The sequence below is a fragment of the Homo sapiens genome, chromosome 3 (genome assembly GCF_000001405.40).
Source record: "Homo sapiens chromosome 3, GRCh38.p14 Primary Assembly".
NCBI classification, from domain to species: Eukaryota; Metazoa; Chordata; class Mammalia; order Primates; family Hominidae; genus Homo; species Homo sapiens.
Window position 1 is genome coordinate 72097839 of NC_000003.12, and position 17092 is coordinate 72114930.

General features: G+C 47.2%; 1 long non-coding RNA gene across 1 annotated transcript in view, besides 1 other annotated feature; it reads right to left on the bottom strand.

The window, feature by feature from the left end:
* Window positions 1-2617, bottom strand: part of LINC00877 (long intergenic non-protein coding RNA 877) — a 64937-nt gene extending 62320 nt beyond the window's left edge. Inside the window, exons 1-2 of the long non-coding RNA NR_104116.1 lie at window positions 2331-2617; window positions 2066-2172 (exon numbers count right to left, since the gene is read on the bottom strand). This is a non-coding gene — a long non-coding RNA (long intergenic non-protein coding RNA 877). The remainder of the gene's footprint in view (window positions 1-2065; window positions 2173-2330) is intronic.
* Window positions 1895-2735: an enhancer, noted in NCBI's record as "NANOG-H3K4me1 hESC enhancer chr3:72148884-72149724 (GRCh37/hg19 assembly coordinates)". NCBI's record gives its function as "activates a minimal SCP1, AML or CMV promoter by ChIP-STARR-seq in naive H9 embryonic stem cells {active_cell/tissue: H9 hESC(naive)}" and the evidence as "EXISTENCE:reporter gene assay evidence [ECO:0000049][PMID:30033119]".

The window sequence follows — 17092 nt, forward strand, 5'->3', positions numbered from 1 at the left end:
TCTATAAGAAATAGATTCAAAAGCAAGTAGATGCCGTAGGGAACCCAGACCAGCTGGGAGAGAGAAAGGTTGGAGGGGTTGGAGGGGTTGGAGAAGGGGGAGCTGCAGGGCCCTGGAAGGTCTCTCTGAAGCAAGGCTTTAAGCAGTGAGCAGTGGCCTAGACCACTTTATCAGTCAGCATCCCCACCAACTGCTCAACCAAAGAGACTTCAGTGGGGGGAACTATTGACAAAGGTGTGGGCAGGGGAAAGGAACCAGCAAGGGAGGTTGAGGCACTCAGACACCAGCAACCATGGGAAGCCCTTATGTTCCTCAGCCTGAAGGGACAAGGGGAGCAGGGCCATAACTCTGATCCCAGGAGGAGCTGGCAGCGCTACTGCCTGAGCCATGGTGCTGAGGCAGGGAGGGAATGGGAAAGGATTAACCCCACCTACCTCTTCTCCCACCCTCAGAACTCCCGAGGGCTCCTCCCCAAGACCAAGGCACCTAATGTATGGCAGGTCCTTTGGGATGCCCCACACCATGCCCCCTGGGTCTGCTTCTCATAAAGCTCAGACTCTCGCAACAGCATGCCACCTCAAGTGCACCCACTTTCTGCTCAGGATCGTCCTTGAAGACAGGGAGCCCTCTCAGCCAGTGCATATGTGAAGCCCAGAAATGCAGGGCAGTGAAAGCCCTCACAGGCAGCTCCGGTTCTGTGGGGCCTGGGAGCTGATGGACAGATACTGCCCAGTGAATGGCTCCAGGCATCTTGTACCCATCTCAGAGGTCCTAGCAGAATCTTTGTCTCAGACAACATACCCTTAAATTGACTCTCCCTGCTTTCCTGTCCTCTTTCCCTGCTCCCTCGCTCCGAGTCCTGAGACCAGCTCTGCCACAGGTTGGGTTCTCTGCAAGGAGACTCTGAGATGGAATATGGGGTGCAAGGTGTTTATCAGGGAATCAATGCCTGTGAAAGGAATGGGGAGGAAGTAGATTTGGGCAGAGGGAGAAGCTGAGATGTGATGCAGGGATGCAGGATCAGCCAAGCCTTGGGCAGCCCATCAGGTTGCTGGGAGCATGTCCTGAGTCTCCCATGGGATGAATGGCCAGGCTTCTGTGCCCCCATGCAGATGAGGATGTGGGCAGCCTAGGAGGGCGTGTTCCATGCTGTCTCTGTAGTTGAGGCAAATCCTGAAGGAGCCAACAGGGGGGCAATCAGTCCCTCCTGGAAGGGGGGCCTGCATGGGGAGCTCCACATTCACCATAAGCTCCCCAAGAAACAGGCTGCCCTCACATCCTTTCTGGGGCTCTGCTTTTGGGAGAGCCCAGATAAAGACACTGGGTGAGGTACTGCCAGGGTCAGCGTCCCAGGGCACAGAGAGGATAGAGAAGGGCAGAGAACAGATTTGGGGCTTGAGGGCAGCACATCCATTCAACAAGCACAGCTGACATCCAGTGCTGGAGGCCCAGAGGTGCCCAGTGTGTGCAAGACTGCCCTCCTGCCTCCTCACTGAGTGGACACCCTCCCCCTCTTCCAGCACTCAGAGGACCCCGCCCAGGAAAGCCTTCCTGCTTTTACTAGGGAGGAACAGAAACTGCTTGATCTCCCCGACAAGCGCCACCTGAGCTAGAGGGGAGTAAAATCTACCCTCATTTGGGGACCGTCTCATTTACATCTTTTACAACGTTAAACAGAAGAAAGCATCACTTAGCAGGTGCCCACCCTGATATCCAGCACCACCCTTTGCATTTGCTGTGATTACCTCCTTTAACACAGGTGGAAAATGTGACTCAGAGAGGTTAAGTAACTTACCCAAAGTCACACAGCCAAAACCCAACAGAGCCAGGATTTAGAGACATTCTGATTGACTTCATATTCCATGTAGATGGCACTATGAGGCACTGTCTCAGAAAGTTTTCTGCACACGTATTCCCCCATCCTACTCCCCAAGGCAAAGCAGAAGGCTGGGCTCTGGGTTTTTCTGGCTTGGGATGCCTTAATCAGACCTCCAGCCCAAGCCAGTTTTCAGCGGCTTCTCCCGCGTTCCCAGCCTGTCTTCAATCACGCCGCAGCAGCCCCTACCTTGTTCATCACCGGCTTTCCTTCTCGTGCCTCCTCTAATTTTGCTCCATATCCTTTATGATGAACCATTGCATGGAGGGTGATTTACAACCTCCACTCTCATCTGCCTAGGGTTTAAAAAAAAAAAAATAGAAGAATTAAATTGGATCAAGCGCTCCAAGATCCTGTCTCTGACTTCAGCCTCTCTCGTTTACCCAGTGATGCATCACGCTGTGTTCTAATGGCTTCCTAATGGGCAACTTAATCTGTCATTAAACCCACTCACCAAGCGCCCCTTGCCAGACTCCTCGGCCATTGGTCTGCTTGCTGAGCCACGGCGTCTGTGGGGTGGCCCCGTCCTCAGATTGGCAGGGGTTCTAAAAGGAAGCGTATCCTTTCGTCTGGGGTCCCAGGCTCAAATGCCGACGGGGCCAGAGAGGTAAGAAAGGTGAGCAGGGCTGGGGGCTGGGACTCTGCGGCCGTCTAACGGGCAGCCCCTGCTCGGCCCCCCTCATCGCTGACTTATGGGGATCTGGGCCCAGAACTTCCCATTTCTTGACACAAGTCGGAGATGTAGAAGTGTATGTATAATCTTCCCCTTTTAAAAATGTCAGCATCTATTTAAAAACATTTTTTTTAAACACTGGGCAGGCCAAATAAAACATGGCAGCCGGCAGCTTTGGTCCCCACTGTCAACTCCTTCTCAGAGAGACCCCGAGATACCCCCCTGTGCTGCTCCCAGTCCCGGAGATTTCCTACAGCTCTGCTCAGCACGGGTAAGAGAATAATAAATCGGTCACTTCACTATCCAATTAGCAGCTGTTGCTCCCCGCTGGAGGAAGAAAACAAACAGGAAGACCCTGCCCTGTTTTGTTTAGGATCAAACTCGCCTCTGTACCACCTACCGGAGGGACTCTGGGGTTTGAGTTCTGGGGACAAGCGCGTGCCCCTGCCTCCGAATGAGCTCCTTTTACGTGTGAGTCCTGGGCACAAAACCACAGCCACCACAAGCCGCGGATGCTTCCCCAGCGGGCCCCGCGAAGGGAAACTCCGTGCAGGGGCAAAGCTGAGTTTTGCAACCAGTGAGCGGGAGCCCGGGGGGCGTGGCCAGGCTGAGGGGATGCGTTGTCCTGGTAACCCGTAACTTCCAGAACCATCCATCCTCTGGGGACTTCCTCTATGGGGCTGAAGGGCTTTCTTTCAGTCTCTCCTCAAGCCCTGTCAACATCACAGCAACATATTCCCTTAAATTCCTGAAAAGGTGCCACACTTGAGAGGCAGTGTAGAGTGTGAACCCTGGAGCCAGACCACACAGGATTAGGTGAAAGGCACTTAGCTTCCGCGGGAGCTGGAGCAAGACATTTAACCCCTCCAGCCTCAGTTTTCTTATCTGTCAAGTGGAGATCATAGTTGTGCTGACCCTGAAGGTGAAGATTAAATCAGTTAACATACGTAGCACATCCCCTGTAGTTCCTAGGGCAGGGTAAGTGCTATGTAAGTGTCAGGAATGGTAATAATAATTTGGGGGAGCATCCGCTGTCCTCTTAGCTCTGAGAGATAGAGGCTCATCAATCTATGGGATCTCACATTAAGACATAGTTGAGCTGTCTCTGGGATGCCAAACTCCTAGAGTTTATCACTTCCCCCCTCTCCATGTATTGTATCCTCTCCCCTCCATCAACTCTTTGGAACTGTGGAAAGTTCTACCCCTTTCCAAACCCAACTCCAACGATACTCCTTCATACCACACACAATGTTCTTCACCCTCCTCTGAACTCATTTTATGCTCTATTGGCACACACACAAGAGCACTTATCACCATTTGCCTTAGACAGTAGCTATGTGTGGATACGATTTATCTCACTGGAGACCGTGACCTCATCTTATTTTTTATATCCCCCGTCGCACTGTGTCTTCGACATAATAGGTGTTAAGTCAATATTTGCTAAAGATATGTTAAGTGAATAAATGAATTAGATTCCCTGAAACAACCAGGGAGATTCACCTGGAGGAAGTCTGAAGTTTGAGAGCTTAGAACTCTCAGAATGGACTTGAACTTGGCCAAGGAAATCTCAGGGGCTATCAATAATAAGCAATAATTATAATAAATAAGAAAATACTAGCATTTATTGTGTGTCTGCTGACTGCCAGATGCTGCTCTAAACTATTGACACGGACTATTTTCTGGAATTTTCACACCTGTCTGGTGAGGTTTGTTCTACTTTTGTCATCTCACAATCCCAGCCAAGGATGCTGCAGTTTAGGGGAGTGGAGTAATGTTCCTAAGACACAGCTGGCCAGTGGCAGAGTACGGATTTGAACCAGGTAATTTGGTTCCCATGGAAGCAAATATTTGAGCGCATACACTTAATTAGGGAAGTGGCCCTAGGGAGCACTGGTAGGGGGATGAGGAAGTGAAACGGAGGGAAGGAAGTAGAGTGAGAGTTTGTTCACAAGCAGGTCATCTCTGTGTGCAATGAAGCTCATTCCCACTGGGGACTACGGGGAGACTGCAGAATAGAACCTGCCTCAGAGCCATCATCCCAGAGGCTAGGGAGCATGGGCATTTACCCAATTCCCTTCATCTTTGGTTGGGGCTGCTCTTGGGGACAACCCCAGGCACTTCCAGCCTGGCCAGTGCATGGACTGAGCATGCTCCTGTGGCCAGAGACAGCCCCAGACAGAGTGACAGGTTTCTTCAGTAAGAAGCTGGTGTTGCGTACAGCAATGGTGAATGCCAAAGGCAGGAGATAGGGGGCCAACACCATCTTCTACATCAGGGGGCTGGTTCCAGAGGCATTCCTCTTTCCACCAGCCCGCAGTCCAGCTCTGCTCACAAACAGATTCCTTCCTTCCCTCCCTCCCTCCCTCCCTCCCTCTCTCTCTCTCTCTCTCTCTTTCTTTCCTTCTTTCACAGAGTTTCACTCTGTCACCCAGGCTGGAGGGCAGTAGTGCGATTTTGTCTGCCTCCCGGGTTCAAGCAATTCTTGTGCCTCAGCCTCCCGAGTAGCTGGGATTGCAGGTGCCCCGCCACCATGCCCAGCTAATTTGTGTATTTTTAGTAGAGACAAGGTTTTGCCATGTTGTCCAGGCTGGTCTCGACCTCCTGAGCTCAAGCAATCCACCCATCTCGGCCTCACAAAGTGCTGGGATTACAGGCATGAGCCACCATGCCTGGCCCAGAAAGCCCACACTTTCTGATGTTCTTGTCTGGGCAGCAGATGCCTCCTCTAGGCGCACTTTAGCCTATTTTTAGTCTCATTATTGTTTCCATAGCCTTGGTGTCCTATTTTGTACTCCTTAACACACACATATATATCACAAACATAAACTTCTACGGGGCAAGACCTCCCTTCTGGAGGAAGTAAGCAAAGCCTGGAAGGTTGAAGCACCTTGATGAGAACCACCTGGATGGCTCATGGCAGCGCAGTGGCCAGGCCTTAGCATCCAGAGAGTCAGACATGAGTTTTGTTTTATTTTTATGTATTTGTTTATTTGGGGGGTAAAAATATTGTCCTGTTGAACAGCCTGATGAATATTAGAAATGAGCTCTTATTGGTGAAATTTAAAAAATTCTCAAGACACATGGATGGGCTTAAACCTTTTGGAGCTGTGCCACATAGACATGCAGGTAGGTAGGCTGCTTCCCTAATACTGTTCTGTTTTTTTAGACGGAGTCTTGTTCTGTCACCCAGGCTGGAGTGCAGTGGCACAATCTCCGCTCACTGAACCTCTGCCTCCCGGGTTCAAGCGATTCTCATGCCTCTGCTTCCCGAGTAGCTGGAATTACAGGTGCACCACCACACCAGCTAATTTTTGTATTTTTAGTAGAGATGGGGTTTCACCATGTTGGCCAGGCTGGTCTTGAGCTCCTGACCTCAGGTGATCTGCCCGCCTCGGCCTCCCAAAATGCTAGGATTAAAGGCGTGAGCCACTGCGCCCAGCCCCTAATACTATTCTGGCACATGGGTCATGGAAGAATAGAGAATAGCCCACCACGAAGCCCCATGCCCACTTCATTTCCCCTCCTGACTTTGCAGACAGCCCTCCTGCAGGCAGTATAGGCCAGAAGTGAAGAACTTGGAGAACAAACAGACCTGGGTCCAAATCCTGGTTGGATCTGCTATGAAGACCTTGGGTGAGTTATGAAATCACTCTGAGGTTTGGGCTTCTCACTAATAAAATGGGTATAAACAACACTATCTACCTGATAGGTTTGTTGTGGGCATTAAATAAAGTACATGCACATAACACCAGGTACTGAGCCCAGCTGGAGACTGACCAGAGACAATTTGGTAGAGGACAACCCCAGGTTCTTTTGCAGTACGTGCAGAGCAGCCAGTGAAGAGGTTTGAGGTGCCAAGGGTTTGCCACTCTCTACATGGCTTTGTTTCTGAGCTTTAAAGAAAGGGACTCTCTACCACACACAGGAGGGCTTATCAATTATTACTGTTTTAGCAAGCAGGCACAAAAACAGTTCACATGGCCTATTTTGCTGATTTTCTTAGGGTAAAGTCTACAGACTCCCCTGCATTCTTCTATCATGTTCATGAAAACATGTGGCATGTCTCTCCAGGATTTAAGCCAATCCATATATTGTGAATGCCTTAATTTCACCAATGAGAGCCCATTTCTAATGTGCATTGAGCTGGTCAACAGGCCAATACTTACACAGAGACATGCACACTCTCATATCTGACATTCTGGGTGCTAGTTAACAAAGCTTTCATTGTTACTCAAGAGGTGGGAAACAAGGACTTGCAGCAGTCAGCTCTAGAATAAGCTGTCTGGTCTTCCTTGAACCATTCATTCTTTCATTCTTTTTTTTTTGAGATAGAGTCTCACTCTGTCACCCAGGCTGGAGTGCAGTGGCACAACCTCAGCTCACTGCAACCTCCGCCTCCCGGGTTCAAATGATTCTCCTGCCTCAGCCTCCCAAGTAGCTGGGACTACAGGCGGGCACCACCAAGCCCAGCTAATTTTTTTTTTTTTTTGTATATTTGTAGAGATGGGGTTTCACCATGTTAGGCAGGCTGGTCTTGAACTCCTGACCTCAAGAGATCTGCCCACCTCAGCCTCCCAAAGTAGTGGGATTACAGGCATGAGTGTGGCTCGACTGGACAATTCATTCTTGACTGGGCTGCTCATCATTACCGGGTTATAGATTAAGCAAAATCAATATCACACTACCTATGCTGAAGGACTTTAAAGGAAAGCAGAAACATCCTAAGCCCAGAAGACAATTAGCATTCAGTAACTGATAGCTCTTACTGTCGGGACAGGGCCATACCATATCACCACCTCTACTTGACCCTGACTCTCCAAACTGGATCTACTTTTATGAGGCACAGGCTAAATTGGTGAAAAAGCAAGCAACTGTACAATCTTCACTCAATTAGCACTTGCTGAGGCTGAAATAAAGAAGGTTTGTATTTCCTATGCAGCATGATTAGGAAAAAGGAGGAGTGGGGGGCGGAGGCTGTGATGAGCTACCGAAATCATCCTTAAGGAGAGAGGCACCTAGGCCCCCAGCTTCTGGGAGAGCTGCCTGCTGACAGCCCTCAGTTGTCAGCACCCTAGAGGATTGCCTTGGTGGAAGAGAGCTGCCTCATTGCCACTGTCACGCCTCCTTCCATGGAAGCCTGCATCTAATGACTGATTGACAAAAGGGTGTGGAGTCCCGAGCCTCTCAGCCTCAACTTGGATGACTCAGAAAGATATTCCCAGCAAAGAATTCCGTGTCGAGTGGGCTGAGACCTTCCTCATGACTACATTGTAGCTCAGTTTCTCCCTCTGCCCAATTTGACTTCCTTCCCTTCCCAATTCTCCAGATGTTGATTCCATGAGAACTCCCTAATAAACCTCCTGCTCACTAATCTCCATCTTAGAGTGTGCTTTCTGGGGAATCTACCCTGCAAAAAGGAGGGAAGGGAAAAGTTGAGCTTGTAGGGGAGGAACATGTTTTTCTCGACCCTAGTCGGATCCCTGGCTTCATCTGAAAATTAAATTGACAAAGGTTAACAGAAGAAGAGCATGTAATTTATTTCATACAAGTTTTATGTGACACAGCAGCCTTTATAGGAAAATGAAGATTCCCCAAAAAAACAGTTAAACAGTTACCAGTTTGGGTAAGAGTGGAAAATGGAAAACCATGATAGGAAAAAAGGATGTGGGCTACGAATAGTGAGCTGGGGACACTTAGCAAGGCCTGTTCATGTGGATTCCTCTCAGGGTTCCTCTGTCTTCAGAGAGAAGGATGCTCCTTGCTCCCGGTACAGGGAGGGGACCTCTCACATGAGGGGCTTATGACCTGCTTCCGGGAAGGTCAGAGAGTCCTTGCTGCACCTGCTCTTTCTCAAATTCCTTCAGCTTTAAATATTCAATATGCCAAGGTGCCATATGTTGGAGTAGCGTGTTCTGAAGCTCCTGAAGCTTCAGCACAATGTATGTTATTCAGAATTCAGATCTGGGGCTCATGGAGGGCCAAGGATTGTGATTGTCTTAATAGCAGTGTGAGGACCACCTTTGAAGCCAGGTCCCCAAGGGTCAGCACATAGAGGATTTTATGTTTCCAAGCTTTTTCCAGTTAATAGCTAGCAGATGCCAGATTCAAACCTCAAGACAACTTGCCCCTGGAACCTGTCCCTTCTCAGTCTTCTTTCAAATATCTTCCAATAAACCAAGTGCTCAGGAACGAGGCTTCCAATGCAAATGGATTCTTCCATGCTCAGAGTAAAGCCGGGCTTTGGAGAGCCTTACAGCTCACTGGTTCAGACCTGATACTGTCAGATGAGGACACCAAGGCCTGGAATGGAGTATGGACAAATCCAAGGTCTAAATGACTTTGTGGTGGAGCTGGGACACAGCCCCAGACCTCCCAGCTTTGTCTTGAATTTTCTGATTTATTCAGCTCCATCACATGGGAGTGGTGGGGCAAGGATACTCAAAATCCCACCAGCCTGGGCAAAGGCCCTTTCAACAGTAATAACACCTTTTAGTGAGCATTTGCTCTGTGGCAGGAGTCAGATTACACTCTTTGGCTTGTTTAAACCGTAATCTCATTGAATTTTTACAATTATCCAATACAAATAGATATTATACCCATTTTATAGAAGATGAATCAGACTCAGAGAGGTAACATATCCAACAAACTGGTGGCCAGATTGAACATGAGGTCAATTTCACTTTATCTTATTTTTTGAGACAAGGTCTCCCTCTGTTACCCAGGCTGGAGTGCAGTGGCACAATCATAGCTCAATGCAGCCTCAACCTCCAGGTTCAAGCAATCCTCCTACTTCAGTCTCCCAAGTAGCTGGGACTACAGGAGCACGCCACCATGCTTAGCTAATTTTTTTATATTTTTTTATAGAGACGGGGTCTCACTATGTTGTTCAGGCTGGTCTTAACTTCTGGGCGCCAGCGATCCTCCTGCCTTGGCCTCCCAAAGTGCTGGGATTATAGGCGTGAGCCGCCACACCCACCGAGCCTGACTTCACTTTAGAGTTCCTCCTCTTCTCCACTGTAATTTACAGTCCTTAGTCTTTTTTTCTAACCCACTAAAGACTTTAGTCTCCTTGCTGGCCTTTCACCCCTCTGCTCCCTGTCACAACTACAAAAGAGGGGAAATGATGTGTCTTGTAAACGAGTGTTTAGGACTTGCGGTAGCCCTTGAGATCAACATGTCTTGGATTCAAATCTTGACTCACTGCTTGCTAGCTCTGTCCCCTGTCTGAACCTCCAATTCTTCATTGGCACAATAAGCAGAAAACCTGTGATTATAAACCTTTCTATCCTGCTGGAGAAAAGGCTAGGCTCCTAGTTAGAGACCTTTCAGGCAATTCTGTTCCAATAAGTCCTCACTCATGGAGTTAGGAGTAAGGATGGTCTCAGGGTTGATAATGACTGCAGCAGTGGGAAGGGTGAAGGAGCAGGCAGGAAGGTGACATTCGAAATATTCAACCAACTAATCACCATTGGCCTTGGCTCAGTTTTCCCATCTGTACAATGCGAATGAAGCTAACAGATCTGCCTCCTGAGGGTGTGATGAGACTTGAGTGAGATAATGCCTGGGAAGTGCCAAGGCCAGGGCCCGGTACGTCACACATGATCAATGAATGGTTCTATTATTATCATCATCCCAGAGCTAGTGCCTTACAAGTCCTGAGTGTCGCCCTCGGATCATGCCAAGAAACAGAAACATGAGCTATAGGCCAGCAGGAGAATCTAGACTCTAGGTCCTCAGATTTTTTTTTGAGATGGAGTCTTGCTCTGTCATCCAGGTTGGAGTGCAGTGGCGCAATCTCGGCTCACTGCAAGCTCCACCTCCCGGGTTCACGCCATTCTCCTGCCTCAGCCTCCTGAGTAGCTGGGACTACAGGCACCCACCACCACGTCCGGCTAATTTTTTGTATTTTTAGTAGAGACAAGGTTTCACCGTGTTAGCCAGGATGGTCTTGATCTCCTGACCTAGTGATCCACCCGCCTCGGCCTCCCAAAGTGCTGGGATTGCAGGAGTGAGCCACCGCTCCCGGACGTTTCTCAGATTTTAGCATGCGTCGGAGTCACTTGGATACAGAGTCACCTTCATGGGTGCATGTTCAGTGTAGTCACACAGGGCTCCATGCGCAGAGGGCTCTCTGCTTGGCTTAGTGCCATGCAGTCACTGTCTTGAAAGTCTGAATTTCTGAATAAGGGATTGTGTATTTTCATTTTGCAGTAGCCCCTAAAAATTATGTAACCAGTGTTGTCTGGAGAACTTATTACAGCATAGATAACTGGCCCACCTCCAGATTTCTGATGTGGTAGTTCTGGAAGGTGGGCCCCTCAGATGTGCATTTCTGACAAGTTCACAGGTTGTGCTGGCACTGCTGGTCCATGGGCCACATTTTGAGAACCTGTATTGAGACTGTTGTTGTGAACACTGCTTATACATTACAATTACCTGGAGAACCTAAAAAAAAGGCAAAATGCCTGGGATCTACCTTCACCCAATCAAATGGAATTGCTGTGAGTGCATTCTTGGCTTCAGTTGGTTTAAAAGCTCACCAGGTGGTTCTAATGCACAGCGGGGGCTGCAAACCACAGGGTGCGAGCAGAGAATCCTTGAACTTCCCTCAGGAAAAGAGTCCCCTGTGGGCATTACTTACCCACACAAACACCCCACCCTGTCCTAGAACCAGTGCTTTGGGGAATCTCCAGAGATGGGACAAGGAGGCTGTATGTTCAACAAGCACCTCAGATGATCCTTGTCCTGCCACGATTCAGGAAAAACTGGTGCCTCCCACCATCCGGCCTACCACAAGTCCTAAACGCTCATTTGCAAGACACATCATTTTTCCCCTTTTGTAGTTTTGAGAGGGAGAAGAGGGGCGAAAGACCAGCAAGGAGACTAAGGTCCCCAGTGGGATAGAAAAAGAGACTAAAGGACTGTAAATTTCACTGGGGAAGAGGGAAAAAAGTGAAGTCAGGCTGAGTGTGGTGGCTCACACCTGTAATCCCAGCACTTTCGGAGGCCAAGGCAGGAGGATCGCTTGAACCCAGGAGTTGGACAGAGAACAGAGCTAGCAACTGGCGCCTGTACTTCTCAATCTTCCACGCACACAGGAAACACCTGGGATCTTGTTAGGCAGCAGATTCTGGTTCAGGAGGCCTGGAGTGGAGTCTAAGAATTTAGATTTCTCACCTGCTCCCAGAAATGCCACTGGTGCAGCGACCACAGTTTGAGAAACAAGAAGGTGATAGGGTGACTAAAATTTTGGTGAAGCAATCGCTGGTTGTCCTGTGAGAAAAGAAGCTGGTAAAAAAGGCCGTGTGCCCCAGCTTCTGTTTGTGTGTGAAGTGTTCATTTCACCTTGAGGAAGCCAGATATTAGGGCTCATTCTCAAAGTGGAGTCTGAGAAGTTCCAGTCATGCTATGGATAAGGAACTTGGCACGTGGCCGACACTTATCCCGCAGAAGAGTTTTTTTTTTTTTTCTAATTTTAAAATCTATTTATTTATATTCTGAGACTGGGTTATGAGACTGGCTAATTTCTGTATTTTTGGCAGACATAGGGTTTTCACTATGTTGCCAAGGCTGCTCTTGAACACCTGGGCTCAAGCGATCCACCCGCCTTGGGTGGATTCCCAAAGTGCTGGGATCACAAGCGTGAGGCACTGCACCCGGCCCTAGAGTAGTCCTTTTGCTTGGCCCATCAGAACATGGACCAGAGCCGTGGTTTCTGTTCCCGGTCCTCACACTGGCTGATGGTGAAACTCCAGACAAGGCCACTTCTCCTCTCTGAGCCTCCATCTGTGTACTGGTGAGATTGGCAGGATGTCTATTGGTCTACTTCACAGCTGCTTCTGGACGTCTCACTGTGAAGGTCCTTTGGATAACAAGACTCCACACTAAATATTGTTCTTGTTATTTCTAGATATTGGCAGGTTCCTTCTTCCCCTCTTCCCAATTTTCCTTCACTTCCAGGTGACATGCGTCATGCCCCTGGAATGCTTACTCTCAGTCAATCCGCACACCTCTATAAGCACTCCAAAACTTTTTTTTTTGTTTGTTTTTTGAGATGGATTCTGGCTCTGTCACCCAGGCTGGAGTGCAGTGGCATGATCTCGGCTCATTGCAACCTCTGCCTCCTGGGTTCAAGCTATTCTCATGCCTCAGCCTCCTGAGTAGCTGGGATTACTGGTGTGTGCCACCACGCCTGGCTAATTTTTGTATTTTTATAGAGACGGGGTTTTGCCATGTTGGTCAGGTTGGTCTCAAACTCCTGGCCTCAGGTGATCCACCTGCCTCAGCCTCCCAAAATGCAGATTACAGGCATGAGACACTGGGCCTGGCCTCCACTCCAGAAACTTTTATAAGCTGGATGAATGAAAAGTGTAAACAGGGAAGAGGTGGCAAGGATGGATGGCAAGTGAGGGGTGCAGAGACGGGTTCCTTACGAGAACTCTCCAGATTGTGGAAACCAAGACAGCCCATGCATTGAGTAGGTGGAAGGCAGAGCACCCAGGTGAAGGGACAGGCACATGAACATGTGAACTCTATTTAGGGGACAGCAGGGACCCAGGTCGGTAGGACGGGACATGGGAATGGATAATTCTAGGATCTTTTAGAACTGCAAGGCCCCTAACCAACCTATTCGTGCAGGGAAACAGAGGCTCTAAGTGAGGACATGTATCAGTAAAGCATCTTCAGTTACAGGTAATAGAAACAACAGTCCCAAGGAAGCCCGAAGCCTCGCCTAAGCTGGAGGTGGTTTTTTGGCAATTGAAATGACAAGCGCCTCGCCCACCTGTAGGCAGAGCAGTCGCCAGAAAACCTCCTTTGCCAGAGCACTGTCATAAATTAATCTTTAATTTCCACCGCTGGGTCTGTGGCACAGCTAATCACGACCACTAATTGCATGACAAGCTTCTCCCTTTTCTTTTTATGTTTCCATATTAGCCTGTTTAGTATGCTTTGTGTCTGTTTATTTTATAGTCAGAAATACTTTTAATAGCCTAGTAAATTGAAAATGGACTTTACTACCATCTGACTTTACCAGAGGTTTACAACCACTCAATTAATGGTATCAGTAATCTTCCTTCATAATTAGATGGTTAGTAGCTTTGTCAGGCACTGCTGTTAACTAAATTAGTACTCAGCATCCACCTAATCATAGTTTTGGGGGGCTCCAAATGGGAAACTTGCCAGCTTGGGGGCTGCCAGGATAGAGTGCCACGATTAGCTGGCTGTAAATACCGCCTGCAACTATATGGTTTAATATGGTGATAACGGGCATTTGTAGCTTACATAAATCTGAGCATTCCTGCTGACAGAGGAGAAATGGTTTTCCTTGGTTGCTAGGAAATAGAGTTAGTTCCTGGGTCTCGCATGCTTCATTGGCTTCTCCCGGCAGCTGATGGATTCTCTACATGAGGGGAGAACAGCCCTTAGCCACCCAGAGTGAAGGTAGAAAGTATCAAATCCAGTTCCCCCCATGCACACACCAAGTGAGTCTACTCTGTGCGAGGTGATGCCTGTAGGATAGAGGCAGAAGGAGGATGAAGTTAGATCTGTGCAGCATTGATGGTCTGAAGGCTGATTTTTAATGTCTGAAAACAATCACAATCTCTCATATGCCCAAGAATTTCTGCCAACTGTCATACTTTGAAAGGAGACAGATTGTTTAAGTGCATGAGAAATTGGCAACTGGTAACATATTACCCAAGTGGTCCTATTTCCATATATTTACAGTAATTACATCCCCCAAATATATTTCAGTATTTAACAAAAATTTAAGTTCCTTTAAAAAATAAATGTTCCTTGTTAGAAATAGTTTAACAACCCAAATATTTTCCATAATTAAAATGCAAAGAAGACTGTATTTTCATAATGCAGGCACATTTGAGTGAAACTTCAGTAATTATCCAATCAGATTTCTGACACTCTCCTGAGTGTCCAGAGAGTAGATCCCAAACACTGACTAATGCTGCCATTCTATTTTTAAAACCTATATATCTGCCAGCTTTCTAAAACTTCTGAATTCTGACAACACTTGAAATTTGATTGAATAGTAGGTTCTTGAGACATCAAGAGGTGCTCAGCAGAGGTTTAAAAAAAGGGTCTTGTGGGAACAGGGAAAAACATATAGACCTATTTGGGCTGAGGGTGAGCAATGGTTTACCTGACTTTAATCGGGAAGTCAGTATTGTAGAAGGAAAATGAGACTGGAGTTCAGATACTGCTGCTGCTCGTCACTAGCTGTGTGACCCTAGGCAACTTACTTAACCTCTCTGGGCCTGTTTCCTTCCTTGTAAAATGGGGATACTCTTTCTTCATAGAATTGTAGTAAGGATTGAAGGCAATGACAGAATGTAAAACACTTGGCAAACTGAGGGTTCGCTGCAGATCTGCAATAAATATTAGCTTCACTTCTTCCTTCTTTTCTCATTCCTTAAAACTCCCTACCCAGACTCCTTTTCTTTTTGTTCAGTTCAGCAAATGCTAGGTTCTACAGAAGACACCCCAAATAAGGTCCTATTTCCAGAGGCCTTCAGTCTCCTGGACTTTTAACTCCCTGCCCACCCCCCAACCCTGCCCAAATATCATAGTTGGAGGAGGAAATGTCTTTTCTAAAAGCTGTTTAAGGAGTCTATGAAGCTTCTGTTATGTGGACCTTCCTGAAATTTCCTCTGAAAGGCCTCCATACAATACCACTAGAGTAAACATAAAAGCAGAAATCAATTCCGTGGCTGAGGAGACTTAAAGTGATTTGAATTGTGAGCAGTTGACTGGTATTTATCCAGTCCTAGCAAAATGAGAATTATCTTGGTGGACACAACCTTTTCCATCACCAAAGGACTGATCTTTAATATTTAAGAAAAAAATTACTCTCTGGTCTTTATGGCAGTGTGGATGATAGAGGCAACAAAACATCCTGCTATTTGTAAGACAGTAAGGAAGGTCAGGAAGGTGTGAGGCTGGTTGGGAGGTAGCCTGGAGAGGTGGGCTCCGTGAGTCACTGTGAGGGGGTTACACTTTATCCTAAGGTCAATGGACAGCACTAAAGGTATGAGAAGCCACAAGGTCAGAGATGTGACACAGTGACAGAGTAGGATGCAAGGACTAAGTTGGGCGGAGTTCAAAACTAAGGCTACGGACAGGGGGAGAATCCACCAGGGTCATCTTTTATAAGGTGCCTGCTGCATGGGGTGGGGGTAGCAGCTGACAGCACCACAGGACCAGATAGCTTAGGAGTGGGAGTAAATTGCCTGTAAACTCTGATGGGTATACCACTGTATCAGGCTGAACTGAGGAATGAGGCTGTATATGTGTAATTTATGTACCTGTTTGAATCCTGGGCTCTCAAATAAATTTAGCTCCTGGCCAACAGCCTGAGCACATGTGTTGGGCTGGAGGACTGCCATGGAGGACAACCAGAGTGGAAATTGAGAATGGATGACGTGAAGTGCAATTGCTCTTTGGAGAAAAGCCACAGCCTACCTCCACCTCCCACCCAACAAGGTTTGGGGAGGTGATATCAGACAAGAGTTCTTGGGACAGAGCTTAGTTTCCCTCTAAAGTTACCTTGGTTTTTTTTCCAAGATCACATCTAAAAACTGCGTGAACTTGGGGAAATTAATCTCTCTATAGCCTCAGTTTCCTTATTATAGAATGACAGTGATGAAACTACCTACCTTGTAGGTTGTCATAAGAATTAAATAACTCAATATATATGTGAAACACTTAGAACATAATCTGGTACTTAGTAAACAGTTGTTCAGGATTAGCTGCTGTTATTACTATCACAGTGACTTCATGTAGCCATTGGACACTGTTCGTTCAACAACCATTAAGTGCCCATCTTCTATAGGTTAGATGCCAGGGATACAAAGATAAACCATGCGTAATATTTATTCTCTAGGAACTCCCCAATATTTTCATTTTAAACTGGAGCCTTAAATAATTTAACACAAAAATGAAGGAGAAACTTGAGAATTTCTTGCATTTTGGTAAAGCCAAGGAATGTATTGTGAGAGAAGACTTTTAGACAGGCAATTGTTGCTTTTTTGCCCCAAGTCCAAGGAATTTCACTTTATCCTCCCATCAACCCAATGAGATAGGAACTATTATTGCTGCTCCTGTTTTATAGACCAAAAAATAATACATTGCTTTTAGTTACACAACCAATAGTTACACAACTAATAAGAGGCAGAGGTAGGATTTGAACCTATTATCCAACTCTGATGCTCAATCTCTAACCCACGGTATGTCATATTGTCTCTTAGGGTAATAAATGTGGGTGCAAGGCAAGTAGAAGCTGATGTAAATTGCAGCAAGACTAATTAAGGAAGGTATTTTTGAGAGCAGGGACCAAGACAAATGGGAGAGAGAGGGTCAGCCACGGAAAACCGTGACATCCTCCATAAGTTTAATATATTTTGTCTGGAGGCAAGAATTCAATTCAATAATTTCTCCATATACAATACTGACTGAAAACCCGTTGGACACATGCCATTCTGCTTCTGCAGGGCCTGGAGTTAAGACATGTTCCTTGCTATGTTTGACCG